A 24,100-nucleotide genomic window follows, 5' to 3' on the forward strand; every position below is an offset into this window, starting at 1 on the left:
TCACACTCTGAAATTGCCCTGTGTATTAACTGGTTGCCTTATTTATGGTCCACCTGCCCCACAGACTCTAAGCTCCATGTGGGCAAAGTCAGACCAGCCATGTGCTCAGGACACCTCCAGCACCTGCACAGTGCCCGGCACACACTAGGTGCTAGGTCACGTCTATCAATGCATGAGTTAGGAGAGCCTGGGTCCCATGAGTTCTTGGACAAATCACTTTCCTTTCCAGCCTGAGGTCCCGGCTAGGCTCACGGCCAGAGACCCAAAGGTGGAGAGAGTCTGAGTCATCCTTATGTGTGAGAGCAGGACTCTGTGGCGCTGACTCAGCCCTGTGGGATCCAGATGGGTGGAAATGTGGAGTCAGACTCCAGTTCCTGCTGCAATTCCCTGCCACCTCCGAGTTTCCCTGGCCCATCACCTCCTGAGTGATGGGCGTGACAACACTCTATGTCACAACTTCCTGCTAAAGTAAGGACAAGAAATTTCCACTCAGCTCATGCCAGCACAGAGAGGTTGAGAAATCAGGCAAGGTCACCCAGACGACTAGGAGTGATATCAATATTTAAAGTACATATATTCTGGTGAGGTGCAGTGGCTCATGCCTGTGGGCCCAACACTTTGGGAAGATCAAATCAGGCGGATTGCTGGAGCCCAGGAGTTCAAGATCAGCCTGGGCAATATGATGAGACCCTGTCTCTGCAAAATAAAATAAAATAAAATAAAATAAAATAAAATAAAATAAAAGTAGCCAGGTGTGATGGCACATGCTTGTAGTCCCCGCTACTTGGGAGGCTGAGGTGGGAGGATCACTTGAGCCCAGGAGGTTGAGGCTGCAAGGAGCTGTAATCCATGTCACTGCACTCACGCCTAGGTGACAGAGGGAGGCCCTGTCTCAAAAAAAACCAAAAACCAAATATTCCAGGAACCCTGCATCCAGAGCTCTCTCCTTCCTCCCCCTTCCCCCTCAGCCATCTTTCTTTTTTTGTTGTTGTTTTGTTTTGTTTGAGACAGTCTTGCTGTGTTGCCCAGGCTGGAGTGCAGTGGTGCCATCTCGGCTCACTGCAACCTCTGCCTCCTGGACTCAAGAAATTCGCCTGCCTCAGCCTCCCAAGTAGCTGGGACTACAGGCACCCGCCACCACAGCTGGCTAACTTTTCTATTTTTAGTAGAGACGAGGTTTCACCATGTTGGCCCGGCTGGTTTCAAACTCCTGACCTCAAGTGATCCACCCACCTTGGCCTCCCAAAGTGCTGGGATTACAGGCGTAAGCCAACGTGCCCGGCCCCTCAGCCATCTTTCTTTGGTGGGATCTGATAGGTCAGTGGAGTGGCAGTGTGCATTGCAGCTGAATGGCTTCCCCGAGGTCCTGCACTGTCCAATCCTGGGGGTCCACTCTTGGCCCACATGGCCCCCTCCCACTCTGAAATGTTTTCCTTCTCTCACCCCAGGCCCTTGCTGTGCTCTTAGCCTGGGACCCTCCTAGGGACGTGTCAGACTCTTCTCTGGTCTCAGAGTAGAAGTTAAAGCTCTTCCCCCAACACTATCCATCAAATGATCGGGTAGGGGTCCCTTCCCCCAGACTGTGAGTTCCACGAGTTCCATGAAGGCAGAATCTGTGCCACTTGCTTCATCCCCAGGTCCCCATTACCAGCAGAGGGCCTGTCACATGGCAGGTGCTCAACAAATATTTAATGAGTTAATGAGGTCTGTTTCCATTCCTTCATTTTACAGATTAGACCAGCGAGGCACAGAGAGGTTTAGCACCTTGCTCCAGTCACACAGCCAGGCCCCGGAGCAGTTCTGGAGGAAAGGCCCGCTTGGGCTTGGGCATGGTCGGATTGAACTGGGGTCAGAGGCCAGGCTGGAGTTTCCTGGAGGAAGGAGAAGGAGTGATCAGGGGCATGCAGGCTCCTGGTGATGTCTGTGAAGCCAAGACCTTGGTCGGACCACGGACCCTTGCCCCCATTTAACTGATGAGAAAAGTGACTTTCAGAGGAGGGCAGAGCTCACCTGAGATCAGTAGTAGACCCCGTTCAGAATGCCTCCCAGAGCTCCAGGCAGCCCCCAGGACCCCTGCTTCTCCCACCTGCATCCCTAGAGTATCAGGCCAGGAGCAGGGGGCCGGGAGGCCTGGGTACTCAGGGCCGACCTTGCCACTTACCCGTGCTTACGCCCCTTAAAGTCTCTGGGCCTCAGTTTCCCCATCTGGATGACAAGAGGGCTGCAGCCTTCAGCCTCCCCCCTTGCCCAGATCATGAGGACCAAGCTGCAGGAGCTGGTGGTTAAGAATACAGGCTCCGGAATCCAAAAGCCATGGTTGAGTCCTGGTTCCAGCATTTATTGCTGAATGATCTTGATCAGTCCCTTCACCCCCTGAGCCTCCATTTCATGGTCTGTAAAAAGAGAATAATAGCATTTTTTGAGGATTAAATGAGCTAAAGTAGGGGAGTCCTTGGCACGATGCTGGGCACGGCACCACCGTCAAACGGGACTGCGCGGTTACGGTATTAGTTAGGGGATGCTGCCCTCTGGCGACCATCAGGAGGAAGCGCAGGCGAGATGCCCGGGCCCGGGGGAACCGGCGTTCCTGGCGTGAGCCCATCGTCCAGATCCGGAGAGTGGGGCCGGGCGCCCGTCACTCCGTGTGCGCCTCCACCCACTGGCAGAGGCGACGGGCGTAGCGAGCCGGGCTGACAGTGGAGAAGGTCCGGCCTGGGTAGCGCAGTGTCTTCCACAGGTGCTCCAGCCGCTTGCGGAGCCCGTAGACTGTGGCGAGATCCACGACGCCCAGGAAATAGCGCTGCTCGGGCCCGTCCAGGATGTGTAGGGCGTTGGGGGCGTCGGGCAGCAGCCGGCGGTTTTGGGCTCTCGACTCTTCCGGGCTCTGTGCCCCTTGCACAGACCTGGGGGCCGACAGGAGGGTGAAGCTGCCAGCTCCTCCAGGAAGCCCCAGCCAGTCGGCTCTGCAAGCCTGGCCAGGCTGCCCACCCCTCCACCAGCTCATTCCCACACCTCCTGTGTGCCCAGGTTTGTGAAGTCAGGTAGACTGAGAAAAGTGAAAGTGTTGGGCTAGAGGTGCACTGTTCAGTAGACATTGGCCACAGGTGGCCACTGAGCCTTGAATGTGGCTATTCCTAGTTGAGATGTGCTATACGTGTACAATACATACTCAATTTCAAAGACAGGATGAAAAAAAGGATGTAAGGCTGGGCGCAGTGGCTCACGCCTGTAATCCCAGCACTTTGGGAGGCCGAGGCGGGTGGATCACCTGAGGTCAGAAGTCGGAGACCATGACATGGCGAAACCCCATCTCTACTAAAATGAAAAAATTAACTAGCCAGGTGTGGTGGCGGACGCCTGTAATCCCAGCTGCTCAGGAGGCTGAGGCAGGAGAATCGCTTGAACCCGGGAGGCGGAGGGTTGCAGTGAGCCAATATCTTGCCATTGTACTCCAGCCTGGGCAACAGAGCGAGACTCTGTCTCAAAAAAAAAAAAAAAAAGAAAAAAGAAAAAGAAAAAAGAAAAGAAAAGAAAGAAAAGAAAAAAAGGATGTAAAATATCTTACTCATTTTTACGTTGATTCAATGAAATGAACATTTTGGATGTATTGAGTAAATGAATTATAGTATTTCACCTGTTTTTACTTTTTAAAATGAGGCTACTAGAAAATTTTAAATTACATGTATGGCTTGAATTATATTTCTACTGGGTAGCACTGGTCTATAGCTTTTGCGTCACACAGACCCTGGAATCTGCACCTTGGTGCCACATGACTTCAGGTAAGTCTATTTCCTAAATTTCTCTTTGGAGTCATCCAACCCCAGAAGTCTCAGGGTTGTGAAGCAGAAGTTTTGTGAACAAAATCCAGCAACCCCAGTTTGCAGATGGTGTGTCTATGGTTTTGCCTCAAAATGTCTTCCATACCAGAAGGTACCTTTGGCAGGGCGCCCAGTCCCAGCAGAAGCAGGTTCAATTCCCTAACTTTGTCCTCAGGCGTCATTGAAGGGCTTTAATCCTGTCCTGTCTGGGTCTCGGGGTAAATAGACCAATGAGAAAAAAGCCCTGCCCGGCGCTGGCCAATCAGAGCTCAGTGGTCTGAGAGTCTGAACAGAATGCTGGTACCCTGTGGGCTACCTGGATGATGGGGAGATGTGGGATGGGGGCGTTCTCAGTAGGGGCTGGGAACTGGGTTGGGGTGGGGCTGGGACAGCCAACATGAAAATATTTCAATGTCACAACAATTCCATGCAAACCAGGACTCACTGACTGAATGACAGCGGTGGCCTAAGTACCAGCTAGGGGGAGAGGGCAAGGGAAAAGCTGACCTCACTTGGATGGGCAGGTGTGGGAGGCTCCGTGCCCCATGGCAGGCTTGCCACCATCCGGTCAGGACGTGTCCAGCCCAGCCAAAGGCCAGTGACTCCAAATTCTACCCAAGTCTCACCCATACCAAGTTCTTCCTCTGAGGGGTAGGAACGAGGCAGGGGACAGGAGGGGTGGCGGCTGGACCTCCTCTTTCACTCCCCTTGTCCACCCACTGGATCAATGGAGTGCCTGTCTTAGCTCCTATGTAATTCTGTTCGACCACAGGGGTGGGCCTGAGGGAACTGAAATGGAAGTAGCTGGCCAAGTACTAACATGAGTCCTCAGAAGTCATTCTGCAACCTTGTGTCTGCTTCCCGAGCCTCAGTTCTCACATTTCTCAAATGGGGATGAGTCTACCCTCCCAGGGAGGCTCCCAGTCAGCATGAAGGAATGACAGTTACCACTACTGAGATGAAGACAGGAAGACGGTGCCAATGATGATGACGTCAGCGTCCTGGAAGTGGAATGACCAGCTAAAAAGGGCAAGGACCCTTTCTAAAGCAAAAATTAGGCTGGGCGCGGTGGCTCACGCCTGTAATCCCAACACTTTGGGAGGCAGAGACAGACAAATCTCTTGGTCAGGAGTTCAAGACCAGCCTGGTCAACATGGCGAAACCCCATCTCCACTAAAAATACGAAAATTGGCCGGATGCTGGGCCTCCCAGCACTTTGGGAGGCCGAGGCGGGTGGATCACTTGAGGTCAGGAGTTCAAGACCAGCGTGGCCAACTTGATGAAACCCCGTCTCTAATAAAAATACAAAAATTAGCCGGGCATGCTGGTGTGTGCCTGTAATCCCAGCTACTCAGGAGGCTGAGGCAGGAAGAACTGCTTGAACCCGAGAGGCGGAGGTTGTAGTGAGCCAAGATCGCGCCACTGTACTCCAGCCTGGGCTACAGAGTAAGACTCCATCTCAAAAAAAAAAAAAAAAATTAGCCAGGCATGGTGGGGATGCCTGTAATCCCAGCTACTCAGGAGGATGAGGCAGGAGAATCGCTTGAATCGGGGAGGCAGAGGTTGCAGTGAGCCGAGAGGGCACCACTGCATTCCAGCCTGGGTGACAGGGCGAAACTCCATCTCAAAAAAAAAAAAAAAAAGCAAAAATGTTAAAAATTAAATAGGTCTTTTTCTCTGCTCTGAAACCTTCAGTGGTTCCACAGCCCCACTGGAAAATGGGCAGATTCTTCAAATAGTCACCAAAGCTCTTCTCCAACTGGACTTCATCTGTTCTGTCCCCTGCTGCAGTCCACCTGTGCCCCTCCTGCCCTACCAGCCAGGCTTCTCCAGCCCTCCCCTCTACACACACACACACGCACACATGCACACCCACACACATGCACGCACACACACGCATGCATGCACTCACACATATGCACACACGCGCGCACACGCACACACACACACAAACTCTGCACTTTCCAGCCTTCATGTCTTTGGCTGCACTGCTCCCGGTGCACTCCCATGCCCCCATGTCTGTCTTTCCCTTACTCTCACCACCTCAATCTCGCTGTTGCCCCTGTGGGAGGCTCACCTGGCCGTGCGGAAGATGAGGCTGCTGCCCGGGCCCCTCTCATCCTCGTGGAGACGTTGGAAGGCTATCAGGAGGCTGTAATCCAGCACGTTGAGCTCCCGGAGGAAGGTGGTATCCAGTTCCATCTGGCGGAGGAACCAGCTCCGCTGGGGCCCTGCCGGAGCATCAGTGCCCCCACCTGAGCGCTCATCATGTGCCAGCCACGGTGCTCCACACACTCTGCCCCGTGACAGCATGTGGCATTACTGTCCCCATCTCACAAATAAAGAAACTCATCTGTAATTTGCCTTGGTCACTTAGCTAGGAAGTCATGGAGCCTGAATTTGAACTCTGCTCTGCCTGATTCCAGAATCTCTTTTATTTTTATTTTATTTTTTGAGACAGAGTCTTGCTCTGTCGCACAGGCTGGAGTGCAGTGGCGCCATCTCGGCTCACTGCAACCTCTGCCGCCTGGGTTCAAGCGATTCTCCTGCCTCAGCCTCCTGAGTAGCTGGGATTATAGGCGGGTACCACCACGCCTGGCTAATTTGTGTGTTTTTCGTAGAGACAGAGTTTCAGCATCTTGGCCAGGCTGGTCTTGAACTCCTGACCTCGTAATCCACCTGTCTCGGCCTCCCAAAGTGCTGGAATTACAGGCGTGAGCCACGGCGCCCGGCCGAATCTGGGCTCTTAATAACTCAGGCAGAGGGCAGCAGGGACACCCTTCTAAACTTCACCCTGAATGAAGGAGGAACAGGCAGTGGCCACCCCCGTGGCTCACCCAGGTTGATGGTCTTGCCCTGAAAGTTGAGGTCCTTCAGCACCAGAACAAGGGGGCTGCCCTCAGGGGCGGGATCCACCCAGCGGCTCACCTCGCAGCCTTTGATGTCATACCTGGGTGGGGGGACAGAATTCAGCTTTACATAGATTTGAGACACAGAGAGAATCTCACAAGAGCTTCCAGTGACTACTTATGTGCACTGAACTATTACAGAGATCATCCCCAGTCCTCAGCACAACCCTGGCCTGTCTTTTTCTCTTTCTTTCTTTCTTTCTCTCTTTTCTTTCTTTCTCTCTCTCTTTTCTTTCTTTCTCTCTCTTCTCTCTTTCTTTCCCTTCCTTCCTCCCCTTCTTTCTTCCCTTTTTTTTTTTTTTTGGAGATGGAGTCTCACCTGTTTCTTTCTTTTTTTAGAGAAGGTCTTACTCTGTCACCCAGGCTGGAGTGCAGTGAAACAAACACGGCTCACTGAAGCCTTGACCTCCTGGGCTCAGGCAATCCTCCCACCTTAACCTCCCAAGTAGCTGGGACTACAGGCACGTGCCATCACACCCAGCTAACTTTTTCATTTTTTGTAGAGGCAGGGTCTCACTCTATTGCCCAGGGTGGTCTCCAACTCCTGGGCTCAAGTAATCCTCCTGCCTTGGCCTCCAAAAGTGCTGTGATTACAAGCGTGACGCACCATGCCCGGCCCTATAGCTGAACCCCGGCCTATTATTGTTTCTGAGTTAAAGATAAGAGCAGAGCAGGCATTCACACTCAGGCCACTGGTGGCCCAGCCCAGGCTTGAGCCCTGCCTGTGCCTGCCTCTGGACACCTTGTCACCCCTGAGGGTGTCCCAGACACAGGGATCCAACCCCAGGCGGTGGCAACAGGACGGCTTGGGGGCAGCCAATGGCCGGGGGGCGGGGAACCTGTGGGTAGAGTCAGCGCTGGAGGGCACAGGGGGTTACGTGCAGTCAGAGGCTGGGTCTGAGTCCCTGCTCCCCACATGTTAGCTGTGTGGCCTTCTCCTTCCTCGGTTTCTCATCTAGGAAGGAGGATAAGAGCTGCCCCTCAGCGTCCTTCTGGGAATTAAAAAGCATGCGAAGGGCCCAACACGGCGCCTAACGCACACTGAGTGCTCCAGAGATGCTGGGTGTGGGCGTCACTGTCTCTGACCCACCAGATCTTGGGAACGCCCCTTCTCCTTCCTGGGCCTCGGTTTCACCGTCTGGCTAGTGAGTGTGGGTGCTTCGGGCCGCGAGTTTCGGCTGGGATGGGGGCCCAAACCTGCTTAGGCCACTCACCTCTCGGAGATGCGGCCGGCGGGGTAGAAGACGCTCTGCATGACGATGAAGTACGTCTGGGGGCCGGGACAGGGAGTGAGGGAGGCCGGCTGTCGCCCTCCAGCCGCCCGCTCCGCCCAGCCACCTCGCCTCGGCTTCACCCACCTTCTTTCCCCGGTCCACCCGCAGACTGTGCACTCCTGGAAGGGGAGAGGGCGCCGGATGAGGATCCCCAAACTCCACAACCCGGGGTGCATCCGGCGCCAATCCCAGCGCCAGGCCACGCCTCCTTCTCAAGATCCGCGGCACCTGGACCCTTCCTTGGCTGGTCCGGATCCCGACCCGATCCCACCCCTAAACACAGCCCCAGTGGTGCCCCGCCCCCACGTATGGCCCCACCCCCATGCCCTACAACCCCAAATCCGCCCATTTGGGCCCCGCCCACATACCCCGCCCTCCCCAGGTATATGATGACCTAGGACCCGCCCCCACCGAGCCCCGCCCCCAGCCAAGTACCCAGCAACCGCGCCAGCAGCGAGTGCGGGTGCCGCTGCAGGTGCTGCACGTAGCGGGGCAGGTGGGCGAGCAGAGCCTGCACCTCTCGGCGCCCCTGGGTCTTCAGGAAGAAGCGCTGGTCGTGGCTGGGGGGCAAGAGAAAGAGGTCACTGCCCAGGCCTGGCTGGAGCGGCTCCCACCCGGCCCCCTTCCCCGACCTGTGCACGTGGATCTCGCTCCCAGGTCTCGGCACCGCCTCTCTCGCCTTCGGCCCTCGCCCTCCTCTCCTCCCCGATCTGTCCACCATCCGGCCCTGACCCTCCCAGATTAGGGCCGCTCTGTTTCTCTCTTCAGGGGGCCTTCCCCGCCACTGGGAATTCTGCCCTCCCAGCCAGGGGTACCACTCCCACCCCTGCCCCACCCCTGCCGCAAGCTCACGACAGGAAGAAGCTGGCCTTGCTCTTGGAGGTGCTGAGGAACTGCAGGTAGGGGCCGCCGGGGCCCAGGGCAGCCTGATAGTCCTCCTCCGCCAGGCCCAGGGAGCGGCGCAGCCAGGCAAAGGCGGGGCCGGCCAGCGTGCCCAGCTCGAAGCCCTGCAGGGGAGGAAGAGCCTCCTCTGGAGTGTCTGCGTGGGCCCGGGTGTGTGCAGTTGGTCCTGGGACAGGAGGGTCAGGGTGACCACACCCTTCCTGCAAGGCTCAAGTCTCAGGGACAAGCCTTCACTCCCACTGCACAGATGGGAAAACTGCAGAGGAGAGAGCAAGACCAGCACACGTCCCTCCCACACGGGAGTCTGGGCCTCCTACCTCGTGAACCTGGGTTAGGACCTCCGAGAAATCGTCCCGGGAGGGCGGCCCCTGCAGGGAGAGGTAGAGGAGCTCAGGGCAACCCTCAGTCCCCTGCTGCCTGCCCCAGGATCTCCAGATGTCCTGCACCTGGCCCGTCCCCCACCTCCTCCAATTGGATTCCTTCAGCAAACCGGGACCGGAGTTTCTGAGAGTGCCTGAGTTGGGCAGATGCATTGCTCACCTCCCAGGGATGCCAGGGGGACAAGAGTGACCCACGGCAAGGCCTGAGTGTATCTCATCCACTCTGGATCACCAGCACCAGGCCATGAGTTCAAGCCAGGCACGTTCCCAGACTCACAGGCTGGCCAAGTGAAGCCAGATTCTGTCCAGTACAAGGGGGTGGCCCTGAAGCCAAGGGACCTGCCTGATGCAACCTGGGAGGGGCAAAATCAGAGAAGCCTTCCTGGGGGTGGAGACCTCTAAGCTGAAATCTAAAGGGTAGTGGAGAGGAGGAGCAGGGTGCTCGCACCAGTAGAAACAGCACTGGTGGCTGCCGGCAAGGGAAGGAGGGCCCAAGTGGCTGAAGCCAGTGAGGGAGGGATGGAGTGTGAACAAGGCTGGATGCAGCTGGATCTGGAGGTCATGCTGAGTATTGGGGAGCCATGGAAGCTTTTCAGCAGGTGATGAGGTCAGTTTGTGATTTAGAGAACTCCCTCGAGTCTCTACACTTTCCCTGGATCTCCAGGTCCCTGTGCCCGGATGTGGTCTGTGGAATGTGGTCCCACTGCGCACACATGCACACACACGAACACCACACACATGCTCACCCAGGCCCGCCCAGCTGCTGAGCTTGCAGTTGGGCCACCTTTCTGCTGAGCCAGCCCTGCCTCAGCCTGAGCTCCAGAGAGGATGGGCTAGGCCAGCAGGGTGGGGGTGGGGGTCCCTTTTCAACCATATACCCTGGCAGGGCTGGGAGGGCCTCAGAAACCAAGGAGTATAATCTCCCCCCATTATACAGATGGGGACACTGAGGCCCAGAGAGAGGCAGAGACCCACCTAGAGTCACACAGCAACCACCTGAGTCAGGGGGTTCCTCACACCCCCAACGCACCCCAGACGTTCCAGCTCCCACACCACAATGTTCCTCCCTCTCTGCCTTCCTCCCCTTGATATCCCTCTCTGATCCCCACACCTGCAGTTTCAGCCAGACAGGGCATCAGCCAAGTCTTGCCATTGCTGGTGTGGAGATTCGTGGGACAGATGGGCCACTCACCGTGGGTGGGTGGTCCATGGAGACCTGGGTGGCAGCCCACAGCCCTGCCTGCATCATGCACGTCATCCCATGCAGTTCATGCCCCGGGCTGATCTCAAACAGGCCCAGGCGAGACTGCTTGTCTCGGAGGCGCCAGAGAAGCCCCCGCCGGCTGGAGGTGACTGCTCTGCATCCAGCCTCAGGGGAGGGGGCCAGGACCTGGTGGGAGGAGGCACAGGACACAGCCTGTGGCAGCGTCACAGAGGAAAAAGATCAGGGTTCAAGTCCCACTTCCACTACTTGTGAGACTTCCCCTCATCTCTCTCTGCCTCAATTTCTTCAGCTGTAAAATAGAGATGATGCTGGTACCCAGAGGGGCCACACAGTGCCTGGCACGCAGTCAGCACCCGAATAGAGCAATGGTTATGATTATCAGTAGATAGGGCGTGCACTCTGCAGTCAAACCTGGCCTTAGATGGACCGTCTCTCACCAACCTTGTGACCTTAGGTAAGTCACCTAACCTTTCTGTGCCTCATTTTTTCATCTGCAACGTGAAAACTAGAACAGCTTCTTCGTGGTAGGTATGAACTCTTGTTACTTTTGAGTTTGAGCTCCTTGCACGGGAGCCCTTGATAGTAGGAGCTGTGATGCCGGTGATTCAGTCACATCTATTCCATTCGCCTATGCTGAGCGCCTCCAGGCCAGCACGGAGGGGCCAGCACGATGCTTTTCATAGCCGCTGACCCACCAGTAGTGGGCATCCACCGCGTGCCCCGCACTGGATGAGAGCTTGACCTCCTAACAGCTCCCTGAAGGAGGAGCTTTAGCATCCTCTCCATTTTCCCAATGAGAAAGCTGAGGAAGTGTTGAGGGATATCCGCCAGGCCGCCCCTCGGGATACCTGGCGCCCCGTGTGGGGCGTGTCCTGGTCTTCGCCGGCTGCAGGGCCCCTCCCAGGCTTGGATGGGGGCGTGTCCGCGCCGCTCGCCGAGGGGAGGCCCGGCCCCTGCCCACCAACCCTTCCCTCTCCTGTCCTCTCTCGGGTCCGCACCTACCTCGCGGGGCCCCGGGCTCGGCGCAGCCATCGCCCCCGCAGCAGCTTCCCGGGCTTTGGCCGCATTCCCCGCCGCCCCGCTGCAGGAATCAGGCCCCGCCCCTACCTCGCGGCCGACCAATAGCATGGCGCCGACTGCGGCTGCATCCAATCCACGCGGGAGGCGCTGGCGATCGCCTGCGGGTCCCGCCCCCACGGCTGCAGCATCCTTCAGACCTCGGTCCGGCTGGGGCGGGGCCGCCGGACATTGGCTGGGGTCCCTCGAAGGGAGCACCCCCATTTTCCGCCCTCGGCGTGGGGACTCGGGTCGCTAGGGCCGCCTGGGGAGGCGAGTAACCTAAATCCTGTGCCACCCACCCATTCCGGCGTGAAATCCCCATTGCCCGTCTTTTGGGTGAAAAAACTGAGAGATCTAGAGAAAGAAGTCACTACCTCTAGGTCACACAGCAAAGTCGGGGACATCCATTCATTGAACACATAGATATTGAACACCCACTGTGGGCCAGCAGTGCTAGGCCCTGGGGATTTAGTGGTGAGCGAGAGGGAGGGGCTCAGCTGCCCGCGTGATCTTTAAAAGCATAACTTGGATGATGTCACTCTCGTGCTTAAAGCCTCCAGTGGCTCCCATGGCAATGGAACAAAACCCAAACCCCTCACCCTGACCCCAGGCCCATCTCAAACCACTCACCCTACACTTAACCACTGAGCCGCCCGGCCCCTCCTGTTCCTTAGCCGCCAAACTCTCCCATTCAAGCCTCTGCATTTTGCTATTCCCTCTGCTTGAAACTCTTGACCCCAGACTGCTACTCGCCTCGTTCTTTCGTCACCTTGCCAGACTCCAACAGAGCGCTCCCCTCCCCCCACTCCTGATCACATCACCTTTATTTTCTTTACCACCCTAACACTGTCAGAGACTGTCTTGTTTATTGTTTATCACGTCTCCCCCTGGAGTGGGAATGCCATGAAAGCGGGGCCATGTCATTCCTGCCTCCTGGCTGAGTGCCTGGCACAAGCCTGTGCCGGATGAGTGTCTATGGGACCAAGCGAGTAGGACGTGCAAAGGGCCTTGGTGAGTCCAGGAAGTGAAAGGCCAGAGTGGCTGGAGTGAAGAGGGGAAAGCAGGCTGAGAGGCAGGGCCCTGTGGGGACCCAGAGAGGTACTGTGAGTATGGGTGTGTGTGTGAGGCACCAAGGTTCGAGGGTTTTGTTTGTTTGTTTTAAGACAGAATCTCCCTCTGTGGCCCACGCTGGAGTGCAATGGCGCAATCTCGGCTCACTGCAACCTCTGCCTCTGGGTTCAAGTGATTCTCATGCCTCAGCCTCCCAAGTAGCTGGGATTATAGGCAGGCGTCACCATGCCCAGCTAATTTTTTTTTTCTTTTTTTCTGAGACAGAGTCTTGCTCTGTCGCCCAGGCTGGAGTGCAGTAGCGCGGTCTTAGCTAACTGCAACCTCCGCCTCCTAGGTTCAAGAGATTCCTCTGCCTCAGCCTCCTGAGTAGCTGGGGCTACAGCCGCGTGCTACCATGCTGGGCTTTTTTTTTTTTTTTTTTTTTTTTTTGAGACAGTCTCTCTCTGTCGCCAGGCTGGAGTGCAGTGGCATGATCCCAGCTCAGTTCAACCTCTGACTCCCCGGTTCAAGTAATTCTCCTGCCTCAGCTTCCCGAGTAGCTAGGATTACAGGCATTCGCCACCACATCCAGCTAATTTTTGTATTTTTAGTAGAGCGGGGGTTTCACCATGTTGGCCAGGATGGTCTTGATCTCCTGACCTTGTGATCCGCCCACCTCAGCCTCCCAAAGTGCTGGGATTACAGGCATGAGCCACCGCGCCCAGCCATTTTTGTATTTTTTTTTTTTTTCGAGACGGAGTCTCGCTCTGTCGCCCAGGCTGGAGTGCAGTGGCACCATCTCAGCTCACTGCAAGCTCCACCTCCCGGGTTCATGCCATTCTCCTGACTCAGCCTCCCAAGTAGCTGGGACTACAGGCGCCTGCCACCACGCCCGGCTAATTTTTTGTATTTTTTTTTAGTAGAGACGGAGTTTCACCGTGTTAGCCAGGATGGTCTCGAGCTCCTGACCTTGTGATCCGCCTGCCTCAGCCTCCCAAAGTGCTGGGATTACAGGCGTGAGCCACCGCGCCCGGCCCCATTTTTGTATTTTTAGTAGAGACGGGGTTTCACCAAGTTGGCCAGGCTGGTCTCCAACTCCTGACCTCAAGTGATCTGCCCACCTTGGCCTCCCAAAGTGCTGGGATTACAGGCGTGAGCCACCGTGCCTGGTCAAGGTGTGCATTTTTGAAGGGCACTGGTTGTTATGCATAGTTGGACTGGTGGGGCCAGAGTGGGCAGGAGAAGCAGTGAGGAAGCCATCTGTGACTTAGGGCAGAGGATGGTGGCTTTGCATCAGGAAGGTGGCTAGAGGCCAGGAGAAAAGGGGAGGGAGAACTGATAAAGCTCAGGGTCCTGTGGATGGGGGGATAAGGAAGAAAGCCAGGTTAGGGACATGGTACACCAGTCACTAGAGGGGGAAGGGCATGAGGGGAACAGCCAGATTTGGGAGAAGTCTGAGAATTCAGCTCATGAGAGGATGCATTTGAGTTTCCCACCATGGCATCCGATGAGGATGTCAGGTGGGCAGCTGGGCCATGTGCAGTGCATCGGGCCAGAGGTGAGCCTGGCAAGGGTGAGACGGCTTGTGACACAACCCTGAGGAGCCCAGCATCACATGGCAGAAGACGGCATGAGTGAGACATCAAATAGCAGAATGATCATCACAGCCGGGCTTGGTGGCTCATGCCTGTAATTCCAGCACTTTGGGAGGCTGAGGCAGGCAGATCACCTGAGGTCAGGAGTTTGAGACCAGCCTGGCCAACATGGCAAAACCCCATCTCTACTAAAAATACAAAAAATTAGCTGGGCGTGGTGGCAGGTGCCTGTAATCCCAGCTACTCGGGAGACTGAAGCAGGAGGATCACTTGAACCCAGGAGGCAGAGGTTGCAGTGAGCCAAGATCGCACCACCGCACTCCAGCCTGGGCAACAGAGCGAAACTCTGCCACAAACAAACAAACAGAATGGTCATCACAGACATCAAGAAAGCGGCTGACAGTGGATCAGGGGATGTCACAGGCCAAATGCAGCTGAGAGTCAAGCAAACATCCTTTGGATTTAAAGAGTGGACATCAACTGGGCACGGTGGCTCATGCCTGTAATCCCAGCACTTTGGGGGGCCGAGGCAGGCAGATAGCCTGAGGTCGAGAGTTCAAGACCAGCCTGACCAACATGGAGAAACCCCGTCTCTACTAAAAATACAAAATTAGCTGGGTGTGGTGGCACATGCCTGTAATCCCAGCTACTTGGGAGGCTGAGGCAGGAGAATCACTTGAACTCAGGAGGTGGAGGTTGCAGTGAGCTGAGATCACACCATTGCACTCCAGCCTGGGCAACAAGAGCAAAACTTTGTCACAAAGAAAAATTAAAAAAAAAAAAAATAAAGAGTGGACACCGCTGGTGGCCTCAGTGGCTGCAGCCTGCCTGGAGAGATGGGGACAGATGCTGAGTGCGGCAGGAGGTGAAGAAATGCAGGAGACAGATGCGGACCCCCTTTGGGGAAGCTTGGTGGTGAAATGGACAGAGGGAGATACTTAGTGGGAACTACTGGATTGACGGAGGGCCTGTAAGTGGGATCCCAGAGCACACTCAGGGAACAATGAGAGGATCCCATGGAGATCTTTCTCACAACAGGGGGCGCCAACTGTGACCTCAGGCTCCCACTACAGTAGTTGGGGGTTTAGGATCCAAAGCCCAAGTGGGCAGTTCTGCCTGGACTGGAGGACAGAGCATGGAGCAGGTGGGGAGAGGGCAGGTGTCTGCAGTTGGCCTTTTTCCTCTGTGATGAGGAAGATACCTCCACCAACTGGAAGAAAAGTGAGGGAACCGGGTTTGAGGAATGGGGGTTTACACTAGGTGCCGTGGAAAATGGGAGAGCCAGCTGCCCAGGCACGGTGGGACTGCTGGAAGGCTAGGGGCTGGGCCAGTCCAGCCAACCTGAACACAGAGCAGCCTTCACTGCTCAGGGCCACGTTAAGTTGGGCTGTGGGGTTTTTAGGGGAGTGGCCCAAGGGTCCCTAAAGTAATAAATCCAACCCGGCCAAGCTGGCACAGGGGAGGCATGGCAGAGGGGTGCCAGGGCCTCCAATGACTCCCAGCTGTGAGCTCCATTGGGTAGGAAGCACATCTGTCCCAGTCCCTGCTTTATCCCCAGCGCACAGGGTCAGGGCAGAAGGCCCCCGAGTCACCCCTACTGTACAGGATCTCCTGACCCAAGACCGCTCCCAGCCCGCTCCAGCCCCGACCCTGGGTAAACACGGCACAGAGACAAACACACCATCAGTGTTTATTGGTCAGCTGTCCCAAACGGGCCAGCCCTGGGGCTTTGGGGCTGGGCCTCCGTGAGGAGAGGTCAGTCGGTCAGCGGCCCGGGGTGGCTGCCCTGAGCCCCAGGGCTGGTCCTGGGGTCTGTCAGTCCTTCCCCAGGCTTTCCAGGTCCAGAAGGCTTTGTGGGGTCTGGGGCTGTGTCAGGGTAAGGAAAGCTGCCTTGGTGGAGGAAGAGAAGTCAGAGAGGTCACACATGTGGCCTTAGAACCTGCTAAGTCCAACGTCAGCATGTGACAGGAGGGGAAGTGAGGCAAGACGGCAGAACCCAGGGGAAAAGGTGGCAGGGAGTCTGAGAGTGAGGTTGGGAGGACCAGCATCTTTTAGGCCCTGAGCAAGAAGGAGGTGACCGGAGTCTTCCAGGTATCCCTCCCTCCTAGCTTCTGGAAGTGGGAGTCGGGGAGGGGGCTCCAGTCAGTCAGGTGTAAGCTCCATGCCATGGGGACTCTGCAGGACAGGCAGGCTTGAGGAGCCACTGTGCCTGGACAGGTTCTGCAGGCTCCCCCACTTGGTCCCTGTGCTGGAGGGGAAGCAGAGAAGGGGCTGGCAGCCTCATCCCTGCGGGACCTTCACTGAGCCTTCTTGGTCACTCTCTTGGTCTTCAGCATCACATAGGAGATGAACAGTCCTGGGATACACAGACCAGAAAGGCCACATAAGATCTAAGCTCAGGGCTGCTGGGAGGCCAGGGCATGACACAGCAGAGCCACCCACACACAGGGCTGTGAACCTACCCAACCATCCTCCAGGGAACCTGCTTATCTCCCTAGTCATTCGTCAAGGCATATGTCTACTCACATTCACTCAACAAACACCAACTGAGTGCCTGCCTCAAGCAAGATGCTGCATTTAGTGTTTCAGATTCCAAGGGGAACAAGATCCACCCATCTATCGATCACCCGGTCAACCACTTGTCTGTCCACCTACATACCTACCCACCTCCTCCTACACCTCACCCACCCACCCATCCATCCACCCATCATCCAGGCACCCGGCTGTTGACTGACTCATCCAAATGACTTTCTGAGCACAGCCTCAGTGCCACAGCCTGTTCTAGATGTGCAGTAATGATGGAGACACAGTCCCCATCCCTAGGAAGCCATGAGAGAGAGAGGTGCAGGAATTAGAAGCCAGGGTGACAAGAGGGTGACTGAGGTGTGAGCAGAGTGATGATGGGGTTGGGGCAGGAAAGAGGTAGACAGGTCATTGGAGTCCAAAAAGCCTGGGGCACCAGGAAACCCAGAGGTTACTGACTGGCAGCCTCGAAGGATGAACAGGAAAACCCCACGGGTGAGTTCGGGGCAAGCAGCTTCCAGCACCGCCAAAGTGTGGAAGCATGTTCAGAGGTGGGGTCTTCCCGAAACCCTGCCCAGGGTCAAGGGGAGGAGGTGATGACTTACCCACAAACAGGAGCAGCAGGAGGCCTGCAGCCAGTGGGATGGCGACAGCATAGGCTCGGGGCAGGAAATACTTGTGGATGACATGCTGACTGTCGATGAATGGCTGGCATCGAGGGAAGAGCTCTGGTGTGTCTTGCTTGCCTTGCCGAGCCCCCAAGCCCAAACGTCCCACCTCCTCCATCTAAGGGGCTGACCCATTCAGAGGACTGGGACTGCATTTGCTTTTCTTTAAGATTACGGCATTTGGGTGTCGTGGTTTGTTTCTTTCCTTAATTTCTTATTGGTATTTACCGGGCACTTGCTTTGGTGCCTGCTATAGGTTGGTGGTGGGGACAAGAGAACAGGGCACAAGAGACCTGCCCTAAGGCACCTCACAGCCTAGCAAATGGTACTTGAGGAATCCTCGACTGACTCCCAACCTGGGCCTCCAGGGCTTCTTCACTAATATTTTTTCTCTAAAGGATACCAAGTTCTGCACTTCCAGACACACTGCACTTCTTAAGCAATAACCAACAAGTTTTCCCACAAGAAAAAAATATCCTAAAGGCCTTCACAAATATCACTGGCGTTTGCCATGCCTAAGAGTCAGCAGGCTAACCCAGAAGGAACAGAACTCCCCCAAAAGTCAAAGCAAGCCGGAAACAGAGTTATAAGTGTAGCGGCTAAGGATGCAATCTTGGGCCAGATCCTTCTCCCCTAGCCTCAGCTATCTCATCTATAAAATGCGGTACCACTGGCATCTTCCTCATAGAGTTGTTCTGGAGAGTTCAAGAGATGAGGCAGGCAATGAAGCCAGCGCCGTGCCTAGAGCCTATATAGTAGTTGCTCTGGCGGTGCCAGGGCTCGGGGAAGGTGAGCAGCGGACGGGGAGAATGACATACCAAGAGAATCACCCAGGCGGTGTAGTAGGTGAAGATGATCAGGCTAACGGCGACGAGGCCGAGTCCCACCACCTGGTCTGTCCCCGTGGCCTGGAGAAAAGGGAGGTCTCAGCTGACGAAGTGACCCTCTATTTCGGCGCACTAATGGAAGCGGGGCGTCGCGGCCCGATCACGGTCTAAGCTTCCCATTCAACAGATGGTAGAGGGCTGACTAGGGATCAGTTTCTAGGCTGGGAGAGAATGCTAGGCCTCCGCGTTGTCGTCCGTACAATAGTGGGGGCGGGAGAGCAATCCCCGTTCCAAGTGCCCATGCCCCAGCTCCTGAGCAGACCCGGGACCCCACCCCCAGACGCCCCTATCTCCGGCACACGGTGCCAATCTCACCATTTCCCCGCGCGCTCAGCCACCCGAGCCGCAAGCCACATCCGGTTCCGGGTCCACGCTCTTCCGGCTTTGGACTGCGGAGCACGCCGGGAGTCGTAGTCCCCAGGCCTGCTCGGGCCCACCTCGTCGGAGACGAGCAGGAACCGCCTCCTCTTCTTTGCATATCGGCGAAGTGTAGTTCTCAAGAGCATTGTGGGGCCGGTTGCTGCCCGAATCTCTCTAGGGAATGGGACCGAGTTGGGGACCCAGACTCCCTGGCCTTCATGGCCACAGTCCTGTCGCCGCCCCACCAAAAGCCAATCTCTAAGTATCCCAGAGTCCCGGGGCCAGAGTGGGATGGGAGTGCGGGATCGGAAGTTCCATTTTTCAGATGGGAAAAGTGAGGCTCAGAGAAAGGTAGATCCCATTCCGAGTCAGTGGTGAAGCCGACACGGAAACCGGGTGCCCTACTTAGTCTGTAGGTGGGAGAGGTGCAGAGAACGTTCACTTTCCAGCCTAGGGTGGGCGGGGGAGGGTCTGTCCCTAGCCCGCATGGATGGGGAGGATTTGGTGGAGAGGAGGCGCCCTCCTCACCATCGCCCGGCCTCCCGGGCCACCCTTCGGATGTCCCCTCCCTTCCTTCACCGACTGTCTCTCGCAGCAGCCCAGACACGTTTCGGACCGGGACCCACGCACAGGCCCCTCCCCGGTCTTGGAAGGCCCTTCCTCTGAGAACAAAGAGATGTTGGGCCAGATCATCTTCCACGCTTCTTCAGCTCCGAGATAGGAACGCGGTCCCCCACCACTCACAGGCCGGCTGCTCCTCACCCATCCGGTCTCACTGGGACGCCACGTTCCTCAGGGAAGCCAGTCGGGAACGTTTTTTTTGTTTGTTTGTTTGTTTTTGAGACGGAGTTCTATGTTATCCAGGCTGGTGTCGAACTCCTGGGCTCAAGCGATCCTCCCAACTCGGCCTCCAAAAGTTTACAGGCGTGAGCCACGGTGCCCAGCCTCCTGTGCCTTTTAATTCACTGATGCAATTGTTGATCCAGCCCTGTCAGCCCCGAGGGTAGGGTCTGAGGTTGCTGCTGTATCCCTGGCACTCAGTGGAGGCTTGGCCCAAAGAAAGAGGTTTTTTTGTTTTTTTTTTTTTTTCCCAAGACGGGAGTCTCACTCTGTCACCCAGGCTGGAGTGCAGTGGCATGATCTCAGCTCACTGCAACCTCTGCCTCCTGGGTTCAAGCGATTCTTCTGCCTCAGCCTACCGAGTAGCTGGGATTACAGGCACGTGTCAACACGCCCAGCTAATTTTTGTATTTTTAGTAGAGATGGGTTTTCACCATGTTGGCTAGGTTGGTCTCAAACTCCTGACCTCAGGTGATCCACCCACCTCAGCCTCCGAAAGTGCCTGGATTACAGGCGTAAGCCACTGCGCTCGGCCCAAAGTAAGAGCTTTGAACCTGTCAGCTTTAAGATTGAGTGATTGTTTAGATACTGGAGTACAGCATCTGGACTCCAGGCCTCCCTGAGGGGTTATGTGGAGGCCTTTGGCCTGCTGTCCCCACCTGGGGAGTTTGGGGAGAGATGTGCTTTGAGCCTGGCATGGTTCGCTCCCTCTGGCATTTATCTCCTTGGTTGGTTGGAAGCCCATCTCCAACTATGGAGTCTGCCCTCCCAAAGCTGACAAGAGCAACTTTTTTTTTTTTTTTTTTTTTTGAGACGGAGTCTCGCTCTGTCACTCAGGCTGGAGTGCAATGGCGCGATTTTGGCTCATTGCAACCTCCACCTCCTGGGTTCAAGCGATTCTCCTACCTCAGCCTCCTGAGTAGCTGCGATTACAGGCACTCACCACCACGCCCAGCTAATTTTTCTATTTTTAGTAGAGATAGGGTTTCTCCATGTTGGTCAGGGTGACTTCAGGTGATCTGCCTCCTGCCTCAGCCTCCCAAAGTGCTGGGATTATAGGCGTGAGCCACTGTGCCCGGCCAAGAGCAACTTTTTTAAACCTACAGTCCAATTCTTTTCCCTTATCTCTCAGGAGACTTTGGGCTCACCTAGGAGCCCACTTTTACCTCCTTCCTCAGTTGTGCATATAACAGAGGAAGGGGCAGAATCGGCCTTCAGGGTTTAAAGGGGCCATGAGTCGGGGTCAGCCCTGAGGAGGAGTGGGGTGAATGCTATCCCAGGATAGAGATGGAGCCCTGGTGGCCTGATTCCTCCTGGCCTGGCCAGTACCACTGAAGCTTCCCAACACCTCCAAGCTTATTAAAGAACCAGAGTGACTTGCCTGTCCCAGAGAGACTTGGGATGGTCAGAAACGGGGGTGAGGGGCCCGGGGCAAGCCAAGCCTGTAAATGATGGCAGCCTGGGGCTTTAGTTTGGGAACACACTCACACCTCCTACAGGTCAGGCTGCACACTCGTGTTATTTGATAACCCCATCTGCAGGTGAGGAAACTGAGGCGCAGTTATTTGTCCTCAGGCATGCTCCTTAGAGGCCACTTGATTGCAGAGAAGGTCTACAGAGCAGTGGTTAGAACTTGGCCCTGAGGACAGAGCTTTTGCTCCGTATGAGGCTGGCAGGTAACGATCTTCTCAGTTTTCTCCCCAGGAATCTGGAACGATGAAGGTGATGATTGTGCCTGTGGCCAAGACCGGGAGAACCCTGGATCCCTACACCTTCCCCACCCCTGGAATGTCACTATACATATCTGACTTCTTCTGATGTTGCCTTTGACCCTAAAGTCAATATGATAAAGTAACAAGGTAAAAACAAAACAGCAAAAGAAACAAAAACCGAAACATTTAATTTTTTCTCCCCAAACCAAGACGCTGACACTAGCCTGAGTTCCCCTAACAATGTTATTTTCTACAACAGAAGCTGGGACAGAGGAACAAACACAGCCCACTCAAGCAGTGGTGGCAACATTCTGTTAGAAAGGAGGGGAGTCAAAGAAAAAAACACCCCTCCGCCCATCTCCTTATCACCTCCCTAAAGACAGAGGAGAACATGGACACCCTCCATCCTGATAGACATGCCATGTGGTCAGTTTGTGCGGTAAACAGGAAAAAAAAAAAACCTAAAGATATTGTAGACCTTTATTTTCTTTAAATCTCCTAATAAAAACATTAAACTTTCAAGAAGATTCCAAACTGACATTGCATAGACCAACTCCTTTCCAAAAATATCTCTGATATACTCTCCAACTCTCTCAATATATAGAATTTGAAGTCCAGGAGCTGTGGGCACCTGGTGGGAATTCACTGAGCTCAAGGGGACAAGAGGGCTGAGGACAGGGCTCCCACATGGGGACAAGGCCAGGCTTTCTGGCCTCTGGTTCCAGCCAGCATCAATTTGGTTGTGGCCAAATTCTCAGTCCAATCACCCTGGCCCAGGGCCTGGCGTGGGAGGATGTGGCAGGCTCTGTCTCCTTCTGGGGTTCCTGGTCTGGAGGAGTCTCCCCAACAGCGCCAAAGCTGGCTGTTTTCCACCCAAAGCCCCAGAACTTTGAATGAGAGGCAAATCTACCCTGAATGCACCTCCCTCCTAGGCTGGGTGAGGTCACGCAGACACAGAAGGGCAGGACAGAACTCCCCATCTTCTGGGGGCCAATTCGTCTGGACACTGTGCGGTCAGCTTCCTTTTTAAAGTGCCAGTATCGGTGGGGCAGGAAGGGACTCTCAGGGCTGAGCAGAGCCTTCTCCAGCGCGAGCGAACACTCTGTCCCGCCTCGGCAGGCACCTTCTAACATTCATTTTCTAAGGGTTAGGTGAGTAAAACAACAACAAATGCTGGAAATGCTCTGTTCCCAATGCCAGGGAGTTCCAAGACCAAGAAGCCCAACTCTCACCAGCGGGGGCAGATGGGGAGCTAGGGAAGGAACCCTCCCAGCCTGGGGAGGGCACCTGCACCCCTCCCAGAGAGAGAAGCCCCCATCCCGGCCCCCCAGCTGGGCCCCAGCGCTGCTGGAACCAGCCGGCAGGTGGGGCAGAAAAGCAGCACCTCCCCTCACCAGGGCGAGGAGGCAATATTGAACCGTGAACTCAAGAAGAAAGACGGAAAGAAAAAATGAAAAAAGCTACAGGGCTAAGTAAACACCAGCCTGCTGGGTTTATACAAAATGAGTGAAATTTAAAAGGGGCAGGAGAGTTTGTCCAGGGACTGGCTGGCAGCCAGAACCCACCTTCAAGCAAGTTACAAGGACTTGGGGGAAAGTGCTGAGAGCAGAGGCTTTAGTAGGGGGCAGGGCCAGACTGCTCCCCACTGGGAAAGCACACCCCTTAAAGGAGCCCTTCCCCCTTGCCCAGAACGGGGGATGCTTCCAGAGGAAGGCTGAGGCTTTTCTGGTAAGGAAGCCAGCTCCGGACCAGTCCAGCCACAGCCCACCTGCCTCTCTGGCATCCGCCCCAGTCTGGGCAGCTGACCCTGAGGGCAGAGAAGGACTTTGCTTGCTCCAACCTTCCTGCAGGAAAACCAGCTGCTCAGGACCCAGCCCTGGGCAGAGGGCACGGTCGGTGCTCAGACCTTTCTCAGCACGGGTCTCAGACCTGAGCTGGAGCTAACTGGAGGAAGAGGCAGCACCCGTTCCCGCCGGGCTGCTGGACCCTGGGCCTCTGACTGCACAGCAGGCAGTGACCAGGAGTCCTTGGGAAGGAGCTCAGGGAAGGGGAGGTGAGGGGCCAGTGGGACTGTGCTGGGGGTGAGCATGTGCAAAGTGCAGGCTGCAAGGCAGCGGGAGGACATTTGCCGGGGGGAGGCAGGGGTCTCGATCTGGAGTGTGGGTGGGGTCTGAGGTCATGGCTCCCAGGAAGAGGCCGCCAGCAGGTCCCCCAGGACACAAGGAAGGGACAGCTGAAGCACTAAGCAGTCAGACAGTCACAGGTGGCAGGATTCCGGAGGTGGTCTGGCCCCCCCACCACCAGGGCAAGGGAACAACGGAGCAAGGCCCTGCTGCTAAGACGTGACCAAAGCCAGTGCTCCTGGAGTGAGTGGGGACACAGGTAGAGAGGCCCCCTCAGCCACAGGCATCTCTACATTTAGGAGCCGCTGCATGTCCTCAGCCAGAGGGCTGGGTCAGTCTCCAGCAGCGCCGGTCCTTGCCAGCTCCTTCTTGCCCACAAGCTGCACGGGCCCGCCTGGCCTGCCTGGCCTGCCCTCTAGTGGTTCAGAGGAGAATATTCACAGTGGTGCCTGGGCCTTGGTGGGCCAGGAGGGTCCCAGCATGGATGGGAGGGGCAATGGAATGATGCTACGGGGAGTGTGGACTGGAGTGCATGGAGGAGGCATGGATGAGATGTGGCGCAGAGGTGATCTGAAGGGGAAAGTTCCTCATGGAATGATACAGGTCTGGACTCCAGAGAAAGCAGGACTCTTCTCCAGCCCGGACACCTGCTCCTCAATGGCTTTCAATCACAACTGGCTCGTAGACCCCAGAAGAGACCCTGCAGGTGAGAGACAGGTCAGCATGTCCCCCTCGATACCCCATTTCCTGAGCGCTCCACTGGACCAGGCCTCT

At 55.9% G+C, this 24,100-nt stretch overlaps 3 protein-coding genes and 1 long non-coding RNA gene across 15 annotated transcripts in view, besides 11 other annotated features; 1 reads left to right on the plus strand and 3 right to left on the minus strand.

The window, feature by feature from the left end:
* Positions 1-1,669: 1,669 nt before the first annotated feature.
* On the minus strand, positions 1,670-11,566 carry PIP5KL1 (phosphatidylinositol-4-phosphate 5-kinase like 1). Of its 7 annotated transcripts, none has more exons than XR_007061247.1 (11): positions 11,512-11,566; positions 10,477-10,674; positions 9,222-9,272; positions 8,854-9,008; positions 8,437-8,561; positions 8,086-8,120; positions 7,942-7,997; positions 6,656-6,768; positions 5,896-6,049; positions 2,162-2,903; positions 1,670-1,871 (listed from the first exon to the last, which is right to left on the minus strand). XR_007061247.1 is itself a non-coding variant. In XM_047422776.1 (11 exons), the coding sequence occupies exons 1-11, from the start codon at positions 11,539-11,541 to the stop codon at positions 2,539-2,541; spliced, it is 1,335 nt and encodes a 444-aa protein (XP_047278732.1). In that variant the 5' UTR covers positions 11,542-11,566; the 3' UTR covers positions 1,670-2,538. The 7 variants fall into 7 exon arrangements, 6 of the variants coding, with proteins under 6 accessions (XP_047278732.1, NP_001128691.1, XP_047278733.1 ...); XM_047422776.1 differs by adding an exon at positions 4,767-4,819 and having other exon boundaries at positions 1,670-2,903; NM_001135219.2 differs by having other exon boundaries at positions 1,670-2,903.
* Positions 4,190-5,389: an enhancer, noted in NCBI's record as "CDK7 strongly-dependent group 2 enhancer chr9:130685680-130686879 (GRCh37/hg19 assembly coordinates)". NCBI's record gives its function as "activates an origin of replication core promoter dependent on BRD2, BRD4, P300/CBP, MED14 and CDK7 cofactors, with strong dependence on CDK7, by STARR-seq in HCT116 cells {active_cell/tissue: HCT116}" and the evidence as "EXISTENCE:reporter gene assay evidence [ECO:0000049][PMID:35650434]".
* Positions 7,291-8,014: an enhancer, noted in NCBI's record as "H3K4me1 hESC enhancer chr9:130688781-130689504 (GRCh37/hg19 assembly coordinates)". NCBI's record gives its function as "activates a minimal SCP1, AML or CMV promoter by ChIP-STARR-seq in primed H9 embryonic stem cells {active_cell/tissue: H9 hESC(primed)}" and the evidence as "EXISTENCE:reporter gene assay evidence [ECO:0000049][PMID:30033119]".
* Positions 8,015-8,738: an enhancer, noted in NCBI's record as "H3K4me1 hESC enhancer chr9:130689505-130690228 (GRCh37/hg19 assembly coordinates)". NCBI's record gives its function as "activates a minimal SCP1, AML or CMV promoter by ChIP-STARR-seq in naive and primed H9 embryonic stem cells {active_cell/tissue: H9 hESC(naive and primed)}" and the evidence as "EXISTENCE:reporter gene assay evidence [ECO:0000049][PMID:30033119]".
* Positions 8,739-9,462: an enhancer, noted in NCBI's record as "H3K4me1 hESC enhancer chr9:130690229-130690952 (GRCh37/hg19 assembly coordinates)". NCBI's record gives its function as "activates a minimal SCP1, AML or CMV promoter by ChIP-STARR-seq in naive H9 embryonic stem cells {active_cell/tissue: H9 hESC(naive)}" and the evidence as "EXISTENCE:reporter gene assay evidence [ECO:0000049][PMID:30033119]".
* Positions 10,186-10,909: an enhancer, noted in NCBI's record as "H3K4me1 hESC enhancer chr9:130691676-130692399 (GRCh37/hg19 assembly coordinates)". NCBI's record gives its function as "activates a minimal SCP1, AML or CMV promoter by ChIP-STARR-seq in primed H9 embryonic stem cells {active_cell/tissue: H9 hESC(primed)}" and the evidence as "EXISTENCE:reporter gene assay evidence [ECO:0000049][PMID:30033119]".
* Positions 11,330-11,649: a silencer, noted in NCBI's record as "silent region_20318". NCBI's record gives its function as "represses an Ori minimal core promoter by ATAC-STARR-seq in GM12878 lymphoblastoid cells {active_cell/tissue: GM12878}" and the evidence as "EXISTENCE:reporter gene assay evidence [ECO:0000049][PMID:35858748]".
* Positions 11,633-12,356: an enhancer, noted in NCBI's record as "H3K4me1 hESC enhancer chr9:130693123-130693846 (GRCh37/hg19 assembly coordinates)". NCBI's record gives its function as "activates a minimal SCP1, AML or CMV promoter by ChIP-STARR-seq in naive H9 embryonic stem cells {active_cell/tissue: H9 hESC(naive)}" and the evidence as "EXISTENCE:reporter gene assay evidence [ECO:0000049][PMID:30033119]".
* Positions 15,172-15,672: an enhancer, noted in NCBI's record as "H3K4me1 hESC enhancer chr9:130696662-130697162 (GRCh37/hg19 assembly coordinates)". NCBI's record gives its function as "activates a minimal SCP1, AML or CMV promoter by ChIP-STARR-seq in primed H9 embryonic stem cells {active_cell/tissue: H9 hESC(primed)}" and the evidence as "EXISTENCE:reporter gene assay evidence [ECO:0000049][PMID:30033119]".
* Positions 15,673-16,173: an enhancer, noted in NCBI's record as "H3K4me1 hESC enhancer chr9:130697163-130697663 (GRCh37/hg19 assembly coordinates)". NCBI's record gives its function as "activates a minimal SCP1, AML or CMV promoter by ChIP-STARR-seq in primed H9 embryonic stem cells {active_cell/tissue: H9 hESC(primed)}" and the evidence as "EXISTENCE:reporter gene assay evidence [ECO:0000049][PMID:30033119]".
* On the minus strand, positions 15,888-18,643 carry DPM2 (dolichyl-phosphate mannosyltransferase subunit 2, regulatory). Of its 5 annotated transcripts, none has more exons than NR_165631.1 (4): positions 18,607-18,643; positions 18,223-18,312; positions 17,342-17,567; positions 15,888-16,569 (listed from the first exon to the last, which is right to left on the minus strand). NR_165631.1 is itself a non-coding variant. In NM_003863.4 (4 exons), the coding sequence occupies exons 1-4, from the start codon at positions 18,607-18,609 to the stop codon at positions 16,511-16,513; spliced, it is 255 nt and encodes an 84-aa protein (NP_003854.1). In that variant the 5' UTR covers positions 18,610-18,643; the 3' UTR covers positions 15,888-16,510. The 5 variants fall into 5 exon arrangements, 3 of the variants coding, with proteins under 3 accessions (NP_003854.1, NP_001365366.1, NP_001365365.1); NM_003863.4 differs by having other exon boundaries at positions 17,342-17,444; NM_001378437.1 differs by lacking the exon at positions 18,223-18,312 and having other exon boundaries at positions 17,342-17,444.
* Positions 18,597-18,906: an enhancer, noted in NCBI's record as "active region_29062". NCBI's record gives its function as "activates an Ori minimal core promoter by ATAC-STARR-seq in GM12878 lymphoblastoid cells {active_cell/tissue: GM12878}" and the evidence as "EXISTENCE:reporter gene assay evidence [ECO:0000049][PMID:35858748]".
* On the plus strand, positions 18,687-21,741 carry LOC124902280 (uncharacterized). The gene is made up of 3 exons (XR_007061801.1): positions 18,687-19,002; positions 21,196-21,350; positions 21,463-21,741. It is a non-coding gene; the product is annotated as an uncharacterized LOC124902280 (long non-coding RNA).
* Positions 21,371-24,100, minus strand: part of EEIG1 (estrogen-induced osteoclastogenesis regulator 1) — a 40,408-nt gene continuing 37,678 nt past the window's right edge. For both annotated transcript variants that reach the window (NM_001035254.3, NM_203305.3), the window contains one exon: positions 21,371-24,026. In NM_001035254.3, coding sequence (NP_001030331.1) covers positions 23,981-24,026 — 46 coding nt within the window. In that variant the 3' untranslated portion in view covers positions 21,371-23,980. The remainder of the gene's footprint in view (positions 24,027-24,100) is intronic.
* Positions 23,399-23,928: an enhancer, noted in NCBI's record as "H3K27ac-H3K4me1 hESC enhancer chr9:130704889-130705418 (GRCh37/hg19 assembly coordinates)". NCBI's record gives its function as "activates a minimal SCP1, AML or CMV promoter by ChIP-STARR-seq in primed H9 embryonic stem cells {active_cell/tissue: H9 hESC(primed)}" and the evidence as "EXISTENCE:reporter gene assay evidence [ECO:0000049][PMID:30033119]".

This window comes from Homo sapiens, chromosome 9 (genome assembly GCF_000001405.40).
Source record: "Homo sapiens chromosome 9, GRCh38.p14 Primary Assembly".
NCBI lineage: Eukaryota > Metazoa > Chordata > Mammalia > Primates > Hominidae > Homo > Homo sapiens.